The 19,592-nt window shown below is 45.8% G+C and overlaps 1 long non-coding RNA gene across 1 annotated transcript in view, besides 1 other annotated feature; it reads left to right on the top strand.

Moving 5' to 3' along the window:
- Positions 1–19,592, top strand: part of LOC105378657 (uncharacterized) — a 203,343-nt gene that overhangs the window by 39,681 nt on the left and 144,070 nt on the right. The window lies entirely within an intron of this gene.
- Positions 10,812–11,313: an enhancer, noted in NCBI's record as "H3K4me1 hESC enhancer chr1:38918219-38918720 (GRCh37/hg19 assembly coordinates)". NCBI's record gives its function as "activates a minimal SCP1, AML or CMV promoter by ChIP-STARR-seq in primed H9 embryonic stem cells {active_cell/tissue: H9 hESC(primed)}" and the evidence as "EXISTENCE:reporter gene assay evidence [ECO:0000049][PMID:30033119]".

Below are 19,592 nucleotides of genomic sequence, written 5' to 3'. Positions count from 1 at the left end.
TCCTGGACTCAAGTGATGCACTCACCTCAGCCTCCCAAAGTGCTAGGATTACAGGTGTGAGCCACCATGCCCAGCCCAGACCCACTTCTTATCAATGGCGAGACTTTGGAAAAATTATTTAAACTTTTAAAGTTTCGGTTTCTTGATCACGAAAATAAGGGTAACAATAATTGCTATGAGAATTAAATGGCACGATGAATATAAAGCACTTAGCTCAATGTCCTGTTCATAGTGAACATTTAATAAACATTTTTTGAAAATAGACTCTATACAGTTTATCTTTGAACAACACGTTGTCCTGGCCACCTCATCCATACCTGTGATTTTAACCTCTATTGGCCTGAAAGCCTTTTTCTCTGTATCTCTCATCTTACTCCAGAACTAACTGCATTCTAAACAAGACCCATGGGTGCCTCAGACTTACCAAGTCCACAACAAACTGCATTTCCCCCACAAACCCAGATCTCCTTCTCTAGACCCTATCAAGTATGGGGCACCATTCTTCCTTCAGCTACTCAAGCCAGGTAACTGGAGGTCAATCTCATCTCCTTTTATCTTACATCCAGCACCCAAATGAGATTAGGTTCCATAACCTGTTGATTCCACCTGCTAGGTAGCTCTCAAGTTCATTTTTTCCTCCTAGCCTAGAGCTGCAGCATCCCTAGTCTTGTCCCCCTACAATCACCCACCCTAGGGCCCACAGAGAGATCTCCTGAAATCATCTATCTGACAATTTCTCTCCCACCCACAACCCTTCAACATTGCCTATGGCTTACAGAGTGAAATTTGATCTCATTGGCTTGGGCACAAGCCCCTTTATGGCATGCCTCCTGCTGTCTCTCCAGCCTCACCTTCTGCTGATTGATTCTCCTGACATCTGCCAGCCTTATAACACTTGGTTCCCTTGGAGGAATAAAGTCATGAGTCTAGCCCTGAGTGTTTTATAAAAGTTGAATAAGAAAAGGGAGACTTTCCTGGCCAAATATTTTTTTAAATTTCAAAAGTGCAATAATATATTCATTTATTTATTCACCATTTCAATGAATATCTGAGTGCCTACTATGTGCCAGGCACTATTCTAACACCATAAATACAATGACAGTTATAAAATAACAATCTCATGGAGTTGTACTACTGTTGCAGGAGCCCGTAAACAGATCAATGAAACTGAATAGAAAATCTAGCTATGGACTCAACTATATAAAAATGAGGATATTATAAAAGTGATCTTTAAAAGCAGTGAGGAAACATGGGTGATTCAGTATGTGCTATTAATGTCACTGGCTTGATATTTGAAAAAAAAAAAAGTTGAATCCCAGACTCACACCATATATCAATACATTTCTAAATGGATTAAAGGTCCAAATGTCAAAATTAGGCTTATGTCTTTGGTCTCCTAAATTATAGTCAGCTCCCAATTTCTGTCCTTGTTCTCTTTTCTCACCAGTGGTCACAAGCTCAGATGCTGATCAGGATCAGGCAAGTCATTTAAATAAACAAAATTGTCCCACAGGGACTGGGTAACCTGGAAAGCATTTGTTCCAAGGTAAACGTCTAATAATCACATTCAAAATCCTAACCATAATAGCAGCAACTGACATTTGTAGAGTTACTGTTTTGTGCTGCTATAACAGAGTACCTGATAGTGGGTAATTTACAAAAACAGAAATTTATTTCTCATAGTTCTGGAGACTGAGAAGTCCAAGATCAAGGTGCTAGTGAGGGCTGCTTCCAAGATGGCACCTTGGTGTTACATTCTCCATAGAAGAGGAATGTAATGTTGTATCCTTACTAGGCAGAAGATGGAAGGGAAGAGGGAGAAACTCCCTTTGTTAAGCCCTTTTATAAAGCCAAAATTCCCTACCTGTCAATGCTGTTGCACTGGGGATTAAGATTCAGCATGAATTTTTGGAGGGAATAAAGTCATTAAAACCATAGCAGCTAGAGACTTTTCTAACTACTTTATGTAATTTACCAACTTATTCTTTACAATTACTCTATGTGATATGTACTATTTTTATAGACAAAGAAACTGAGGCACTGAGGAATTAAGTAAGTAACCTGCTTAATTCACATATTTAGTAAATATTGAGCAGGATCTGGAATCCAGGTAGTCTGACTTCAGAACCTAAGCTCTTAACCTCCATATTCCAGCCAGTTCTTAGACCAAACAAAACATACGCATGGGCCAAACCTGGTCCATGGGGTGCCGCTTTTCAACCCATGCCCCCGATTCTTTTAGAGGGCTCTCCCACTCTTGTCTTTGTGACTTATCTTCTCTCTGTTGACAACTATACAATTCCATCTCAAACTCAATCTAGAGTTGTTTCCTGAGCTCAATATTTTTTAAAAAACTTTCTCTGGATCTCACCTGGATTTCCCCTAGGCCTCTTACACTGAACAGATTTAAGCTGACCTCTTCTCTATCTCCACTCTTATCCCAAACTTCCTCTTCCCTTGTAGCTTACTCCTATGACTTCTATGTTTTCTTCACATCTCCACTGGGTCTTTTCCATGTGTCACCTTCTCAGGAGGCCCACGCTGACCACTGTATTTAAAATCACAGCCCTCTCTCCATGTACACTCATTCACACATTTCTGCCAAAATTCCTATTCCCCTTGCTTCTCTGGTTTATTTTTCTCCATGTCACTTATCACCACCTAATTTATCATACATCTGACTTATTTATTTTATTTGTTGTGTATCTCCCATCCTAAAATGTAAGCTCCATGAAGGAAATTTTTTTTTCGCTATTGTAGTTTTAGAGCCTGGAACAGTCCCTGGCACAGAAGAATTCCATTGAAAGAGGGAATGAATGAATGAATGATGCTTCTTTCTTATACAACAATAAAATTTCCTTTAGGGCTTGTGCTTTATCTTTAAAAGGAACCCAGATTTTGCAAACTACTTTATAATGTATCCAACTTTATTTTAATATTAAAAGAGGTCTTATATTGTTCCCCATACTTCCTGGATACATCTTCAAGTAAACTCAGTGTTCCAGGTCAACATTCCATTTTATCTTGTGGCCTCCTGTGGACCTGGTATAGCATCACGTCCCTCCCACCCCAGCTCTTTGTCTTGCTCTTGCCTTGGCTTTCCCAACAGCAAGTGAAGAGACCAGCTGCTCAATGAGGGTCTCAGGATGTGAGTTGCCTGCAAGTTCACAAGCAGCTGGCAGGATAAGAGACTGTGAAATGCCTGGAGCGATGGGCATTTCAGGCTCTGAGGAGAGACATACTGAGGTTGGGGAAAGGGAAGGAATGAACCTCTTGATCTTTCACAAATCAAACCGTATTTTTTCCTTTTCCTTTTTTATTCTTTTTCTCTACCTGCACTTAAACATTTTTCTTTTTTTTCTTTTTTCATTCTTTCACTTTCTCTTCTATTGTGAAATTCTTTTACTCCTTGTTTCATAACTATGCATACAGTGCCTGTAAGAGGCCAGACAGTATGCTGGGCTTCGGAAATAAAGCAGTGGACATAACAGGCGTTATCCTTCCCCTCAAGGAGCTCCCAGACTTGTTAGGTACACACGACAATACTGACCATGCACTCTGGGGTGGTGACTGCTGGGTTAGGGAACTGCAGGGTAGAACAAGGGCACCTACAAGAACACCTAACTCAGACTGGGTGCGGTGGCTCATGCCTGTAATCCCAGCACTTTGGGAGGCCGAGGCAGGAGGATCACTTGAGGTCAGGAGTTCCAGACCAGCCTGGCCAGCATGGTGAAACCCCGTCTCTACTGAAAATACAAAAATTAGCTGGGAGTGGTGGCACATGCCTGTAATTCCAGCTACTTGAGAGGCTGAGGCATGAGAATCACTTGAACCTGAGAGACGGAGGTTGCAGTGAGCCGAGATCATACCACTGCACTCTAGCCTGGGCAACAAAGCAAGACTCCATTAAAAAAAAAAAAAAAAAGCAAAGCACCTAACCCAGACCTCAGATTTTGGAGTTCAAGGAAGACTCCCCAAAGGAAGTGATGATTAGGCTGATACCCAAAAAGTGCCAGCTGCTCAGGTAGTGGGAAGGAGGTCCTAGGAGCACAGTCAAACCAAAGTGGGTAGGAGAGGACAGCTGAGGGTGTGCGTGTTTGTGTATGTGTGTGCACATGCACACACACATAAAACCGTTTTGCACAGGTTGGATTTGGTAATTGGAAATTTTTTTTTTTCCCCTGAGGGAAAGCACACTTGGGCTCCCTCCAGTATTGGAAAGAGTGGCTTTATTCTTAGTGGTTCCAGAAGGCAGGGGAATAGCAATGGGTAGGTGTTTGAGGTGGGTGAGGCTTTCAGGCAGAACTGTCCAAAACACAGTGGCCACCAAAGGAAGTTGGGACTGGCTTACCACTTATCCAAGAAGGAGCCAGAAGATGTGTGATAGTGGTTCTTGCTGGGAAATTGGGTTAGAAAATCTTTGATGGCTCCTCCTGCCAGAGGTTCTTGGACCCTGGGCCATTGTCCTTCAGGAGGGGCCTATATGAGGAGAGCCTGGGATGCATTTGGAGTCTGTCCTGGTCTTGGCTAACAGAGAAGCATCAGACCTGAGCCCTGCCCATGGGGAGCCCATCCACTGGTCAGGGAGAGAAGCACATGCAAGGCTGCAGATAACTCACAGGTGAATTTGTGGAACAAATTAGAGGAGCAAAAGAATTTGGTTAAATGAGTGACATGAGTGGTCCAGAGCAGTAAAGGATACAATGGAGTAGAAAGAAGAGCTTTCTGGAGTCAGTGAACTTGGGTTCAAATTCTGGTTGTGCTGCAGACTCATGATGTGACTTCCAACTTTCCCTCTCTGAGTCTTCATTTGCCCCTCTAGGAAAGTAAAGGCACCATTTGAATGCTAGCATTATAGGTTCCATAACCAGCATCATGCAATGATCATTTCAATAGCTCATAGCTGGGAAAAAAGAGAATTTATTCATTTACTCATTGACTCATTCACTCATTCATGCAACAGGTACCTGCTGAGCCCACCCGTGGGCTTGGCCACTGCAGGAATTAGAGGCAAACACAAAGATGACTGAGACAGTCTCTAAGAAGACACGAATACCATTGTTCATTGCACCCCTGTTTGCAATACGAAAAAAAAGTCAACACGGAAACAATAAAAATATCTATCAGTAGGGAAATGGACAAAGAAATGTGGTTTTATTCATATGATAGAATATTATTCATTTTTAAGAGGAATAAACTAGATGTCTATATACCAAACAGAAAGATCTCAAAAGGAAGCCAAAACATTAAATGAGAAAAGCAGGAGGAAGAACAATGTAAGTTTTATGATACCATTTGTAGAGGATCTTGTTGCCTCTTCAGCATCCATTCCCCATTCTCTTGCTATAATTTTGTGCAGATGTCCACATCAACCTGTGCAGCCTGTGTGCCTTTAGAGAGGCTGTCTCTACCCTCCCCTTACAGGGGGCACATGTCTGAGTCCAAGGCTTATCAATAGAATCTCAATCCATGGTCATAATATCTGGTTCAGAGGTGCATAAACCACTTTAGGCCATGAGAAGTGAGAAGTTTCTTGACGCTTCTGGAGAAGCAGCTTCCTCACTTTTCTCAGAGCACTTCCTGAATGACCCCCTCTCTCCCAGCAAGGCCTGCAGTCCCAGGAGTCATTGGTAGCCTTTTATAACCATGAGGAGGAGCTAGCTCTAGGATAAAGCTGACACCGTGGAAAGATGAGCCAAGTGTCAAAAGAAAGTGGGTCCTTGATGACATTTTTGAGCTGATAAATCAGGTCAACCCTGAAGTCTTCCTTGCCACTAAACTTTTCAGGTATGGAAGCTAGTTAATCTTCCTCAAAGTTTAAGCCAGGTAGAGGTGGGCTTTCAGTATTTACAACCAAAGGATACTAACCAATACATTATTTAGATAAATTAAGGAACATATACAAAAAATACTATAGTTTTTTTTTTTTTGTGGTTATATACATTTGGAAGTAAAAGTGCAAAGCTTGAACTGAAAGCACATATATACTCAACTCATGATATGGTTGCCTCTGTTGGGGGTTGGGAGGGGTGCATTGAGAAATAGGTTTAGGGATGGAAGATTAAATAATAGCTCGCATTTATTGAATACTTATAGGCAGGTGCTGTTCTATGAGTTTTACATACACTAACTCGTTGAATCTTCGTGACAACATTCCACAGTTTTTACAGAAGTGGAAACTGAGGCATAGAAAGGTTGAGTAATTTGTCCATGGTCAACTTTCTAACGAGTGGCAGAATGGGGATTTGAACCCAGGCAATCTGGCTCCAGAGCCATTTATTAGCTTTATATTCTCTTAATACCTATGCTAAGGTGACATCAACTTTATCTGTCATGTTTTCTGGTTTTTGTTTTTTAAATGAAGCAAGTGTGGTACAAATTTAATGATAATTTGTTCTGGTTGAAGGGACACATGTGATGGTTTTGTCATTCTCTGTTTGTGTGTGTGCGTGTATGTGTGTTGTTTGTTTGTTTTTTTGAGACAGAGTCTTGCTGCATTACCCAGGCTGGATTGCAGTGGCATAAACATCACTGTGACCTCCAACTGCTGGCCCTAAGAGATCCTCTTGCTCAGCCTCCCAAAGAGCTGGGATGACAGGCGTGAGCCACCACAACTGACCAAACTTTTGTGTGATTTTTTACATTTCTTAAAGGAAACATGAAGCTGGAGGCAGCTCCTGCTCTTGAGGAGTTCTCAGTCCACTGAACACAACCACTGCAGCCCAAACTGAGAAGCACCAGAAGAGATGTTGCTGGGGACTTAAGTGAAGGGAGAGGCCACATCTCACTTGGGTGAACATGGAAGGCTTTGTAGCAGCCCTGGCATTGGAGGTTGGACCCAGAAATGAGGTCCAAATAATGTTTGGACATGCCATGTTGAGGGCAAGTGAACAATCGGGCAGCAAGGACTGGGTAGAGAGGTGGGAGCATGTGGGGCCAGAGGAGCCCAATTCAGCTGGAGCTGAGGACACATGATGTGGGGAATGAGAGAACATTGCTAGAAATCAGCAGAAGCCAGACAGTGGCAGGGCTTATGCAAACAATGATGCCCTTTTGTTTGGCAGGGGTGGTTGATGCTTCTAATGCTTGCTTCCTCTCTATCCTTGCTGATCTCAAGAGGTGCCCATCTGGCTGTTTTTGCTGCATCTCCAGATGTTCTCTGGGCTCCTGTGGTGAATTATCTGCTGACCCAGCAGTAGCCCCTTCCTAAGCACCCCAGGGTGCTTTCAATGTAAAACATGCAGTCACATTTGAACTGGCAAGACCTCGTCTGCCTGGGAAGCCGTATTCAGACTGATCAGCATGGACTCTATTCTGGGGGCTGAGCCTGCTCAGGGTCACCTGCACAGAAGTGGGTGAGATGTCCCGGGGCCATCCACAATGGCTCCTGACGGCCGCGGGAGGGACACAGATGCAGGCTAGCATGTAATTAGTGCCAAGAACGCAGCTCTCTGATCACTTTCCCTCAAGAACGTGCCTCTCTGGCTGAGAGGCAGATAATGGACAATCACAGAAGATCCTTGATTATGGCTTGATTAAGCTTATGGGAGCTCCAGACGGCTAATGCAATTGTGGCTTCCAAACCGTTCAGTGCAGGGCATTTCCATATGGACAGGGAATTAAATAAAGCTGTCCTGAACACTTTGCTGAGCTTGTGCCTCCAATGTCTGGCCGGATACAATCTTCCGCTTCAAGTGACCTCGACAGAGACTATAGGGAGTGGTCATGACCCAGGATGAGAAGGCCAGCTTCCTCCTTAATTACTGTCACATTTCCCCTTTAGGGCTCCTGACCTGCCTGGCATTAGCTTTTTGCTCCCTTTCCTGGAGCCAGGGATCCACTCCCCGCCCCCAGCCCCTAGTCAGCACCACAGCTTCAGCCTCGGCTTTTCCAGAAGCCTTGACTTTCAGTAAGCAAAGGACTGTGCTGAACACGGTTTCCGGTGAGATGATTCACACTGGTCTGGTGGAGACAATCAAGGGAAAAGCAGGGGATGGCGCATAAGTCTCAGGTCAGGGTTTCTGGGGGTTGTCCCTGGGCTGCTAAGCCAATCTTCCCCTTTCTGGACCCCAGGCTCTCCTCTCTGCCACAGCAGGGAGATGGGCTACATGATTTCTAAAGTCTAGGGATTACACCAGTTACCCTCATCAGTGAAAGCAATGATTTGAGTGAAATAGGATGTTAACATGACTTTCCTCCTATCTTGAAATAGCAGGAATATTGGATGGAAATAGATGGAAACAGTTGCTACCAGATAAACTCTCTGGGGCTTCCAGAAAATGAGCCAAACTGACCCGTCTTTTCCCTGTTGCCCATCCTCAGTCCATATAGACAGAAGAACTAGAGAGTAGATTGAAGGCAGAAATTGAGAGGTATATGAGCCATTGGCTTGATAAGGAGAGCTGTGCCTTTTCCTTTCCTGCCCCATGGTGAAAATAAGAGGAGTGGGTATCCTCATTCCCCAAGCCAAGTAACAGGTTTCCAAGAGGGCCGCTCAGAGCGTGAAATGCCTGCACAAGTGCAGACAGGCATCTCACTCTTCAACTGGACAACTGCTGAGCTGCAGAAGCTTCCAAGCCTACCCAGTGATGGCCGGGAGTGAAGCAGAGTGGGAGAGTGCTTGGAGAGCTTGGCATGCGTTCCTTGGCACGTGAATATAGAAACTGGTGACTGGGGAATTCTGAAGGCAAGTAGTAATTGGAGTCATTTGCAATTGTGAGGGCAAAGGTAGGACAGCAGATGAGCAGCCTGTATGTCACTGTGGAGCATGGCAAAGGCACGTGAGTATCTCAGGAGGGAAGTGGTTGCTATGGAGGACAGCTCGGTTTAGGCAGTTCTAGGTGGTGAGGACGTTCCACCTTCCAGGCAGGAGGACTCCTTTAGTGCAGATCCTGGGGTAAGAGGAAAGTTGCAAGAGGTCAGCCAGAGGGCACATTGCTCATATCAGGAGACCATGGAGGGTGGACGTCCCAGTAGAAACTTCCCAGTGAGAGAGCCAGCATTTGAAGGCCTGTCACATTAAGAGCATTAATGCTAACCAGCATTGGCCAAGAGAGGACTGTAGGACTAGTTAAAGATAAGACTCACTCTTTCCTTATAATCCCTACTTCTCTTGCCTCTATTCTAGAGTAGCCAAGAACAGCAGTGGGATGAGGATAAAAAAGGGAAAAGCAAGGAAAGAGTAGGCCACACCCCCTTCTCTATGTCCAGTAAGCCACACCCCCTTCTCTATGTCCAGTAGGCCACACTCCCTTCTCTGTCAGTAGGCGACACCCCGTTCTCTATGTCCCGTAGGCCACATCCTCTTCTCTATGTCAGTAGGCCACATCCCTTTCTCCTTGTCCAGTAGACCACATCCCTTTCTCCTTGTCCAATAGACCACATCCCTTTCTCCTTGTCCAATAGGCCACGCCCCCTTTCCTTGTCCAGTAGGCCATGCCCCCTTCTCCTTGTCCAGTAGGCCATGCCCTCTTCTCCTGGTCCAGTAGGCCACGCCTCCTTCTCCTGGTCCAGTAGGCCACACCCCCTTCTCAGCCCCAGGGATGAGTCCTGAGCCTGGCAAAGTGAAGTGGCTTTGAATCATATGCAAGACAGAAGTTTCAATTTGGGCAATTTTTATTTGGATACTTTGGCCTTTTTAATACATGGAAGTAAGTTTTAACTACCTCAACAGAGAACATTCTCATGACTGCAAGTGAGAAGAAAGCTCTGAGTTCTCCCCAAGATGGCATGGCGGGGCAGGGAGGAGCATGTTTGAAGGCAGTGGTTGTTTCCCATTTATAAGCCATCAAGCTCAGACCATGCAACATGCAGTTTTCATAACGAATTCTCTGGTTCAGTCTGCCACCATAGATGTCTTTGGTTTAGCACTGGAAATGAAAAGGTGAAAAACACTAGATTCGCACCTTATGCTGAGCAAATATTGTCTTGAGGATGCAGACCACATTTTCTTGGCCCCCAGTCAACCTTCCCTGCTCCTCGGGGTTGGAAGCCTGTGTTCTGGCTCTCATGTCCATCATGTGCCATCCCTATCCCAGCACTTCCCTGTTGGATTGAACCCGCGTGTCTGCTCTGTCCTCCTCTGGACAGCGTGTCTCCAAATCATCCCCATCACAGCACTTCCTTGGTGGATTGCACTTGTGTGTCTGCTCTGTCCTACTCTGGACACTGTGCCTCCAAAAGCAGAGGCTGTATCTGTAATGCTCGGTCTACAGTAGCCCTCGACGCATGCAGTTGATGAATATGTGTCTGCCGCTGATCTTACCTTCTTCTTGGTCTAGAGTTGGGGACCTCTGTTTTCTCATCTGTAAAATGGTGTATCCGGCTGGCTGATTTTAAGGGCCCTTCTAGGTCCAGAAACCTTGGACTAACAGCATGGGGTTCTCTGGTCATTCCCACCCTGGGAAACATTCTGACAACCAGTTGTTTGCTGAGTGTTCAGGGCTGGATTATCTTGAGGGAAAGGCCTGAGACAGTAGCAAGGACAACTCACCTTTGTGCCGGCCACATATTGTGAAATCTGTTTTGTCTTGGAATACAGCAGGGCATATGCTGGGTCACCGTAGAGGGACTGGCAGATGGAGAAGGGCAAGGAGGGAGAACCTGAGTAGCCACCCCTCCCCTTCACCCTGCCTGATACACTCTGCAGGTGGAAGAGAGGGCTATGGCAGCTGTCAAAGTCTCAGCCTCTGATCTGAATTAACCTGGGACCACAGTCCCTGGGAGACAGAGTAGCGTGGTAAAAACAAGCTGGACTCGGCCGGGCGCGGTGGCTCACGCCTGTGATCACAGCACTTTGGGAGGCCGAGGTGAGTGATCACAAGGTCAGGAGTTCGAGAAGAGCCTGGCCAATATGGTGAAACCCCGTCTCTACTAAAAATACAAAAATTATCCAGCGTGGTGGCGGGCGCCTGTAGTCCCAGCTACTTGGAGGCTGAGACAGAATTGCTTGAACCCAGTAGGCGGAGGTTGCAGTGAGCCAAGATCGCACCATTGCACCCAGCCTTGGTAACAGAGAGAGACTCCATCTCAAAAAACAATAACAAAGCAACACGCACAAAAAAACAAGCTGGACTCCAGTCTAAGAGTTTTGTGGTAGTAGATAGGACTCCAGAAAAACAAACAAACAAAAAAAACCCCGAAAGCCGAGGGAGCAGGGCATCAGCTCAGCCAGAAACTGGGAAACAAAGTCAAGGTCTGACTAACATGGCGATGTTGGTGCTGCATCACAAAGAATTCCATCTAGCCAAGAATTGGCTAGAGTTGAAGTTCCTCCTCCCTGAGGTCAGGATGAGACCTCCTAAAGGGGGGCAGAGATGCCGAGGGCACACTGAGGGTTAGCAGGGTCCTAAAAGTACATGGAAGGATCAGGAATCAGGCTTGACAACCCCCAGCCCCACCCGCTTTCCAGACTTCCCTGTGCTCCTTGTGCGTGCTTCACTTGTAAAGGGGAAGCACTGTGATTTGTATGTTTTGCCCACAGAAGTACAGAGCTCATGTCATACAAGGGGAATAGGCAGTGATTGCCGTAGCATTGGATCTGAAATTTTTCCAGGATGTAGGGGTTGCTTGCTCAGTGAGTCTGTAAGGGCTTCATGAAGTCAGGGAGGGGCCAGATAGAGGGTTTTCGTGAGCCTCTAAACCACTGGATCCCCCTATCCTCTCTCTAATCCTCTCTACACACACTCTCTCTCACACAAATATACCAATCTTCTTGATAGAAACACACTGAATTTGTAGGATTACATATGGAATTTATAGGAAATTTTAGATGTAATTTATATAATTACAGTCATGGAAGCTGATCATTTCAGAGTGCAAGGACCTCCTGTCTCCTCTCCTTGCACACAGTCAGGATATTTACAACCAGCACCGTCTCTAGGGCCCCTGCCTGGGGGAGGGGAGCATTTCACCATGAATAGAGGAGTGTGTGGATTGGCATGGGAGAGCTCTCAGCCTGAAAGGATGGAGGATGACTAGGGAGGAGAGGGAAGGGTGAAAGAGTAGAGCTGCCATTCCCACCTCAGCTGTCAACTTGGGACTGTGTGACTCTCTTGAAGTGTGACTTTGCAGAGAAATTCAGACCCCCGCCAGCGGGACAGCTGGCTCCAGTCCTTCCCACACAGTGATGACTCAGGCAGGCTGGCCTCTCTGGAGGCAGCTTTTTCATAGCTTGCTAAAAGAATGTTGTGTCCTAGTCTGATTTCTTTGGGGTCTAACCAAGGTCCTCTTAGGAATGCACCAGTGATTCTAATTCAGGTTTCCTTGGGGTGTCTCTGTTTATCCTGGTGACAGGAGGTGGCTGTTTCAGCAAAAAAAAAAAAAAAAAAAAAAAAAATCCCAGTGACTAGGCTGGGCCAGCACATGGGAGAAATATTCTACTTTCCAACAAAAGGAGCCTCTGAAGCATCTTAGTGCTTTTAAATTATAGAATTAAGCAAATTTATGGCAGAAAAATAAACATTAAACTTAGCTTTATTTTTGGTCTGTTTTGTTTGCAAGGAATAACCCCTGTCAAACCATCAGAAAGAAGCACGGGGAGCATTGGAAGGAGACCCTCAGCGGTACCTGGGGATTCAAAAGTAGGGCTCTCCTAGGGACCCGTGGCTGACAGCTCAGCTTCCCTGAGGCCGGAGCTGCAGGGAGTTTTAAGTTGAAGGGAGATCTGGGGGCCTCAGAGGCAGCTGTCCGTGGGCCTTCTCTACTGTACTATTGTGGCCCAGGGTTGTGGCTTGAATTGTGTTTCCAGAAAGATATGTTGAAGTCCTTACTCTCAGTACCTATGAATATCAACTTATTCAGACATAGGGTCTTGGCAGAGTTAATCAATCTAAAATGAGGTCATACTGCATTTGCGTGGCCCCTAAATCCTATCACTGGTGTCCTTATATGAAAAGACACAGAGGGAAGATGGTCACATGAGGCTGGAGGCAGGTAATGGAATGATGCTGTCACAAGCCAAGGAACACCAAGCATTGCCAGCAGACTCCAGAGGCCAGGAGGCAAGGAAAGCGTCTTCCCTAGGGCCTTCAGAGGGAGCACAGCCCCACTGCACCTTGGTTTTGAACTTCCAGCCTCCAGAACTATGAGAGAAGATGTTTGTCTTGTTCTAAGGCACCCAATGTGTGCTCATGTGTCCTGGCTGCCCCAGGAAGTGAACACACCCAGCTGTGCACCATGTTCCTGCTAGCAATGGCAGCCTCTCTCTTTGTTTCTTGTTCAAATTCTTTTTTTTTCTTTTCCCCCAAGATGGAATTTCACTCTGCCACCTAGGCCAGAGTGTAGTGGCACGATCTCGGCTCACTGCAGCCTCTGCCTCCTGGGTTCTAGCAATTCTCCTGCCTCAGCCTCCCAAGTAGCTGGGACTACAGGTGCCCACCACCATGCCCAGCTAATTTTGTGTATTTTTAATAGAGACAGGGTTTCACCGTGTTAGCCAGGATGGTCTTGAACTCCTGATTTCACGTGATTGGCTGGCCTCAGCCTCTCAAAGTGCTGGGATTACAGGCGTGAGCCACCACGCCCAGCCCTGTTCAAATTCTTGATACAGAGGGGATCTGGTCCTGGTCATCTTTTGTGGCTGACCTGTGGACCAGCTGCCCTTGATGGTTCAGGGGCTGCCTTAGGCCAATTGGCTGTAACGGAATGTGGTGGGGTCACTTGGCACAAAGCAAGACTTCTTGAGCTCAAAAGGCCGGCAGAGGTCAAGCATCCTAAACATGTCCAGCAGACCCAGGCACCTTGGTCCGGGCCCACTGGGAGGTTTTGTGGAGCTGTGATCCTCCTGTAGAGTTCTTTCATATTCTTCCCTTTCCCCTCTCCACGCATCCACCTAGCTCCTACTTTTGACTGCTAATGAATGGCTAAAGAAAAAAAGTAGGTCCTTTTTTTTTTTTCTTTTTTTAAATGGACGTTCTGTAGAAAGTACAGGCACTTAAGTCCTGGATTAAGATTCACGAGTCCTGAGTTGAAAGCTAGGTTTTTGTTACTTACCAGCTATGTGACCATGACACTGGGCAGACCTTTTCACTTCTCTGAGCTTCGGATCCCTAGCTGTGAAATGGAGCCAATGTCACTGGCCTGCTAAGAATGTGATCAAATAAGAAAATGGATGTGAATATTCTTTGATCTTGTTAAAGCTCCAAGTCCACAGGGAATGCTTTAGGCAAGAAGCCGCCCCCCAGTTAGGGTGGGCTCCATGCAGAAGCTGGGCTGTGGAAACTGAGGGGCAGGCTCAGGGACAGAGTGCCTGCTGGCTGCCTGCTTTTCCTTTGTCTTTTTCGATAATGCTAATTTGGTTACTCTTAGTAACAGCTATTCCCCATTACTATTACTCATTCTGGGCTCTGAATCATTCTGATGGATACAACTTGACATCAACCAATTTGCCTAATTCATCACCTTTGCATTTCTTTAATACTAAAGACAAAGTAGGAAGGTTTTCCAACTGGCTTTGTGATTTTCTTTTCTCCTATCCTCCAGCATCAATGGGGGATGCAGAAAAGACTCCCTCTGAAGGGCTGCTGGGTGGAGAATTCAGCTGGCCAGGAATTCTGAAGTTAAAACCCACTCACTACGTGGTCTTTAGTAAGTTCAGGATGACCATGGCTTTGCTCGTCCTTGTCTCCATAGCCCCCAGGGCTGGTCGTTGGACAATCATTCATTTTCTATCTGGGATTAAGCCCAGCCCAGCCGGGACTGAGAGTGTTCCCCACCCAGCTTCCCTGCACTTGTGTACGCTCAGCCATGGCCTAAAATGCGGAGTTCTCATTTCGAGGCTCAGGACTGATTTCTCCCGCCCTCAATGTGGGGAGGTCCTGAGTCCACTCATTCTTTCAAGTCCTGCCCAGCCACCTTCTCCATGGAGAAGGAATCTCCTGCTCGGAATTTCTACATCCCTTCTCCTGTTCCTTTATGATGAGCCGTAATCCTTTCACATTACAAAATCAAAATGCAGAAGCATGTAAGGTAAAGGGTGATGTTTTCCCCATTCTTCTTCTCCAGTGTCCTCCTCTCCCCAGCACCTCCTTGTGTAAGCAATGTTTTGTTTTGTTTGCATCTTCCAATGTCTTTCTTTGTGTTCACACTAACATATTCATTTATATATTCATACATAAAGGGGTTTTCTACTAATATTTAAATGTGCTCTCATTGCACATACACAATTACCTTTCTTAACTTAATAATATATTATGGGCATTCCTCCATGCCAATTCACATATATCTTTCGTTTAAATGGCTTCATAATGTTCTATACATTTATTCAAATCTTTCCCTGTTGTCTTCCGGTCCGTAATCTTCATACACACATCTTTTTATAGTGATGTTTTAGTTTCTGTAGGAAAGAGTCACAAATGTGTGATTTCTGGGCCAAAGGATATAATATGCTTAATTCTTATAGTTACTAGCAGATTACTTTCCAGATAGGATGTGGGGATATAGCTCATCAGTGAAGTATAGGAATGCCTGTTTCCTCACACCTTCACCAGCTTTTAGATGCTAAATATAAATATTTTGCATTTTTTTTTACTATCTGCTGGGTGACAAATGGCATTTTAGTGTTTTAATTTCCATTTTCTTAAATACAGGTGAATTTGAACATCTTTTTATATTTCTTGGCCATTTGCATTTTTCTGTAAATTCCTTGTCAAATCTTTTGCCCATTTTTAATTGCATCCTTTAAATATTACAGTCTCAGGCCGGGCGCAGTGGCTCACGCCTGTAATCCCAGCACTTTGGGAGACCAAAGCGGGGGGATCACTGGAGGTCAGGAGTTCGAGACCAGCCTGGCCAACATGGTGAAACGCTGTCTCTACCAAAAATACAAAAATTAGCTGGGCATGGTGGCACATGCCTGTAGTCCCAGCTACTTGGGAGGCTGAAACAGGAGAATTGCTTGAAACTAGGAGGTGGAGGTTGCAGTGAGCTGAGATCACACCACTGCATTCCATCCTGGGCAACAGAGCAAGACTCTGTCTCAAAATAAACAAATAAATAAATAAAATAAAAAATAAAAAAATAAGTACGATGGTCTCCTTGTACTTGTCCAACATAACTTCTGTCCATAATAACAGCTAATATTGGTATCGCATATAAAGCATTTTTCACATACATTAGCTCATTAAGTCACTACTATGATTTTACAAGGAACATATTATTTTTAGTTTTAGGAAACTGAAGCCCAAAGGCTTGCTCAGGCTACGTAGTCTACTGCTGCTGAGCTGAGGCTCCAGCTGCCTTCCACAGCCCCATGGGAAGGATCCATGGGTGACTTTTCTCTCCCATTTGGTGCCTTGCACAGACCTTACACCAGGGAATGGACGTAAAATGAGTAGAATGACATATGATGGATGGATTAATGAATCAGAAGATGGAGAGAATGATGGATAGATTAAAAGATGGCAGTTTGGAACAACTTCCCAATATATACCCCTCCCCAACAATATGTGTCTTCTGGATTTCTGCTCAAAATGCCCTTCTCATTCTTCATTATCATTGCCAAGCAGTCTTTTCATAGGCATCTGACCTTGCTATAGTCCTTGACTTCTCGTGTATGAGGAGGGTCTGTCTCAAGCATGGAAAACAGCCCTTTGCCTCAGGTAGGTAACGTGAAGAGTGACACAGAGTGGAAGAGCATAACACAGCAGTTCTCAGCTAGAGGTGATTTTGGTCCCCCTTCCCCAGGGGACATTTGACAATGTCTGGAGACATTTTTGATGTCACAACTTGGGGAGGAGGTGCTACTGGCATCTGGTAGGCAGAGGCCAAGGATGCTGCTAGACATCCTACAAGGCACAGGGCAGTGCCCACAACAAAGAATTCCTTGGCCCCAAATGCCAAGAGTACTGCTGTTGAGAAGCCCTGGCTTAAAGCGGCAGCAAGCCCCTTAGTGACAGCGTGATAAGAAGGAAGGATGTAGGATTTGTAAACTCAAGGGACTTGCCTCTGAGCATTAAGGGGCCTGTATGATTTTGAGCACTGATCCTTTCTCAGCCTCAGTTTTCTCAAGTGAAAATGTGGATAATCTCATCTTCCATGAGAGACTATTGTAAATATTAAGCAGAAGGATGTATGTGAAAGGCTGCTAGGTACATGTGGGAGATATTGATTGTCATCAGGAAGCATTTGAGAAAGGTATCTTATTTATCTGGGCGTGAATTTGGGGGAGCTCAGCCTGTACTCTCTTGGTTTCTCGACTGACTGTGTGTGGGTTCTTTGGATGTGAAAATGCAGGTGTTTGTGGCTTGGAGTCTGAAAAACTAGCTGAATGCTAATCTCCCAGCGTCCTTGTTTGCTCCTCTGGAAACTTTGCTGGGGGACAGCTAATCGATGGGGGGAAATGATGACTCCTGCATTGTGCACATACTAACTGGCAGCCCTGGAGCCCAGACCCGGGACTTGGGAACATGCTTTTGCTTTTGAAGGAAGGCTGGGCAGGGAACTGTAATGGAATTTCTAATTCTGGATCTGGTTAGTTGAGAGCAAGATCAGATCTACTTGATGTAGCAGACCAAGGTAGCAGATGGAAGAAGGGGAGCCAAATGGCCAAATTAGGGGATGAAAAATCAAAGAAAATGAAAAGGAACGAGAAAAGACAGCGGGAGGAGGTCCTGAGGAATTGGGCAGCCTGAGAGCCAAAGCCCAGAAAGGCGTTTTACACTCTTGGTCTATGTCACTTTAATCCTAGCCATTTACTTAGGCAAGGACTTTTGGGCAAAGGATTTTTCTAATCAACCCCACCATATCACCCCAAGTCTAACCTCACCCTCCACTCTGCCCATACTTCCTGACCCACACTACAGCCTCTGCTGTGTCCCCACCCAGGCCCGGTTCCCTGTCCTCTCTTCTCCCTACTTGCCTGGACCCCTCAAGCCTTCCTTCAACCTCACTGGTTTGATTAGAATCCCATCCACCATCCTTGGCTCAGTCCACCCACCATGCTGAAGATGGAAGGGAAAAGAAGTGAGTAAGGGAGAGAGCAAAGGAGAGGAGTGGTCTCTTTTGAGCCAAGGGAATTAGATTCCCCAGCCTGCTTTCAGCTTATTCTGCCCCAAAGACCAGAAGGATAATCCTTTCCCTAATATTCTTGACATAAAACCAACTTATGTACAAATACACCTGTCCTGTTTTGAGTCATAACTAGTGGTTCATAAGCATCTTTTATAGCGTGTGGAATTCACAGCTTGGAGGTGATGCACATTCTGCCCAGGATTCAGGCCCTAAGCCGGGTCCTGTGTCTTCTCAGCACACGTACCCCAGATCCATTGGCCTTCTTGTCTTTCTGGAACTCTTGGGCTAGGGTTGCCCTCCTCTCAGTAAGAAGCTTCTGTGAGTGTGGAACAGAGCAGCAGATAAAGTCAAGGATGTCAGGAGAGCTTGTAAGGTGATTCAAACCCTAGTTCCAGGAAGAGAGAACCCAGGGAAATTCTTTTATCAGTGTTCTTCATTCAGCAGTGGCAGCAGTGTGGTGGAGGCGCACAGACTGCGTGTCTCCCTCTGTGGGGACCAGTCCCTTGAGGAGCTCAGACTGCCTCTAGCCTGGCCGGGTGGGGTGGGGACCGTGGGGGCTGGCGTGGCAGCTGTGGGCTGCACCAAGGCCTGTCAGGGAGGAATGATTAATGAACAGCCGCACCAGCTGAGGCTAACCTTTGGAGAGCTGAGCAGGGCATCTGCAGAACTGTCAGCGCTCTGACAAGGACAGAGCTGAACAACCAATTACGCCGCCATCACTAAGGTGGGCTGTCACTTTAATCCCAGCCATTCACTTAGGCAAGGACAGGGAAATTTCTCCTCTGCAGAGGCGTGTGCCTCGGCCACCTTAACCATTTCAAGACAGGGCAGGGACCCTGGTTGGGAGCTGCTCCAGCTGTGTCCTGACAAGTCTCCCCACTTCCAGGCTTTCCCCGCTTCCCAGTCTCTCTTTCATACCGGCCACGAGAGCAGAATTCCAGCCACATTTACGCCTGTGATTTCATTCTGCTGCCTCCCACAGCTTGCAGGACGAAGCTGGAATTCCTTGACCTGGCATTCAAAGCTTTTCATCCCATTTATTCACTCAATTGTTTACCTGATGAACAATTACCTATTGCACATTTGGTATGTAGTAGGCATTCTGCTAACTACGGAGCAGAGTAATTAAATGTAAGAGAGTTCTCACCCTTTAGAAGCTTGTGATCTCAGAGCAGAGGCAGATAAGTCCCTGAGTGGAATATAAGATCTCTTACAGAAGTAGTAATAGAAAGCTGTGGGAAGCCACAAGAGAAACACAGAAACCAGATGTGTGGGGTAGTGGAGAGCCAAGGGGCAGGGATAATCTTGGGCTTTGTCTAAAGTGCTAAGCAGCCGTTAGTCAGGCAGAGAGGTGGGGAAAGGGAAAAGCAAGTACAAAGGCGCAAAGTCGAAACTACTCATGAATTGTAGCAATGCCAAGTGATTCCATGTGTCTGGCATTCCAAGTACGGATGCTCCTGGATTCCTGGGGCTACATCTAATAAACCCATCTTTACTTGAAACTATTGTAAGTCAAAAATGCATTTAATACACTAACCTACTGCACATCATAGCTTAACCTAGTCTACCTGAAATGTGCTCAG

This window comes from Homo sapiens, chromosome 1 (genome assembly GCF_000001405.40).
Source record: "Homo sapiens chromosome 1, GRCh38.p14 Primary Assembly".
Taxonomy (NCBI): Eukaryota; Metazoa; Chordata; class Mammalia; order Primates; family Hominidae; genus Homo; species Homo sapiens.
This window is presented reverse-complemented; position numbering and strand designations above follow the sequence as displayed.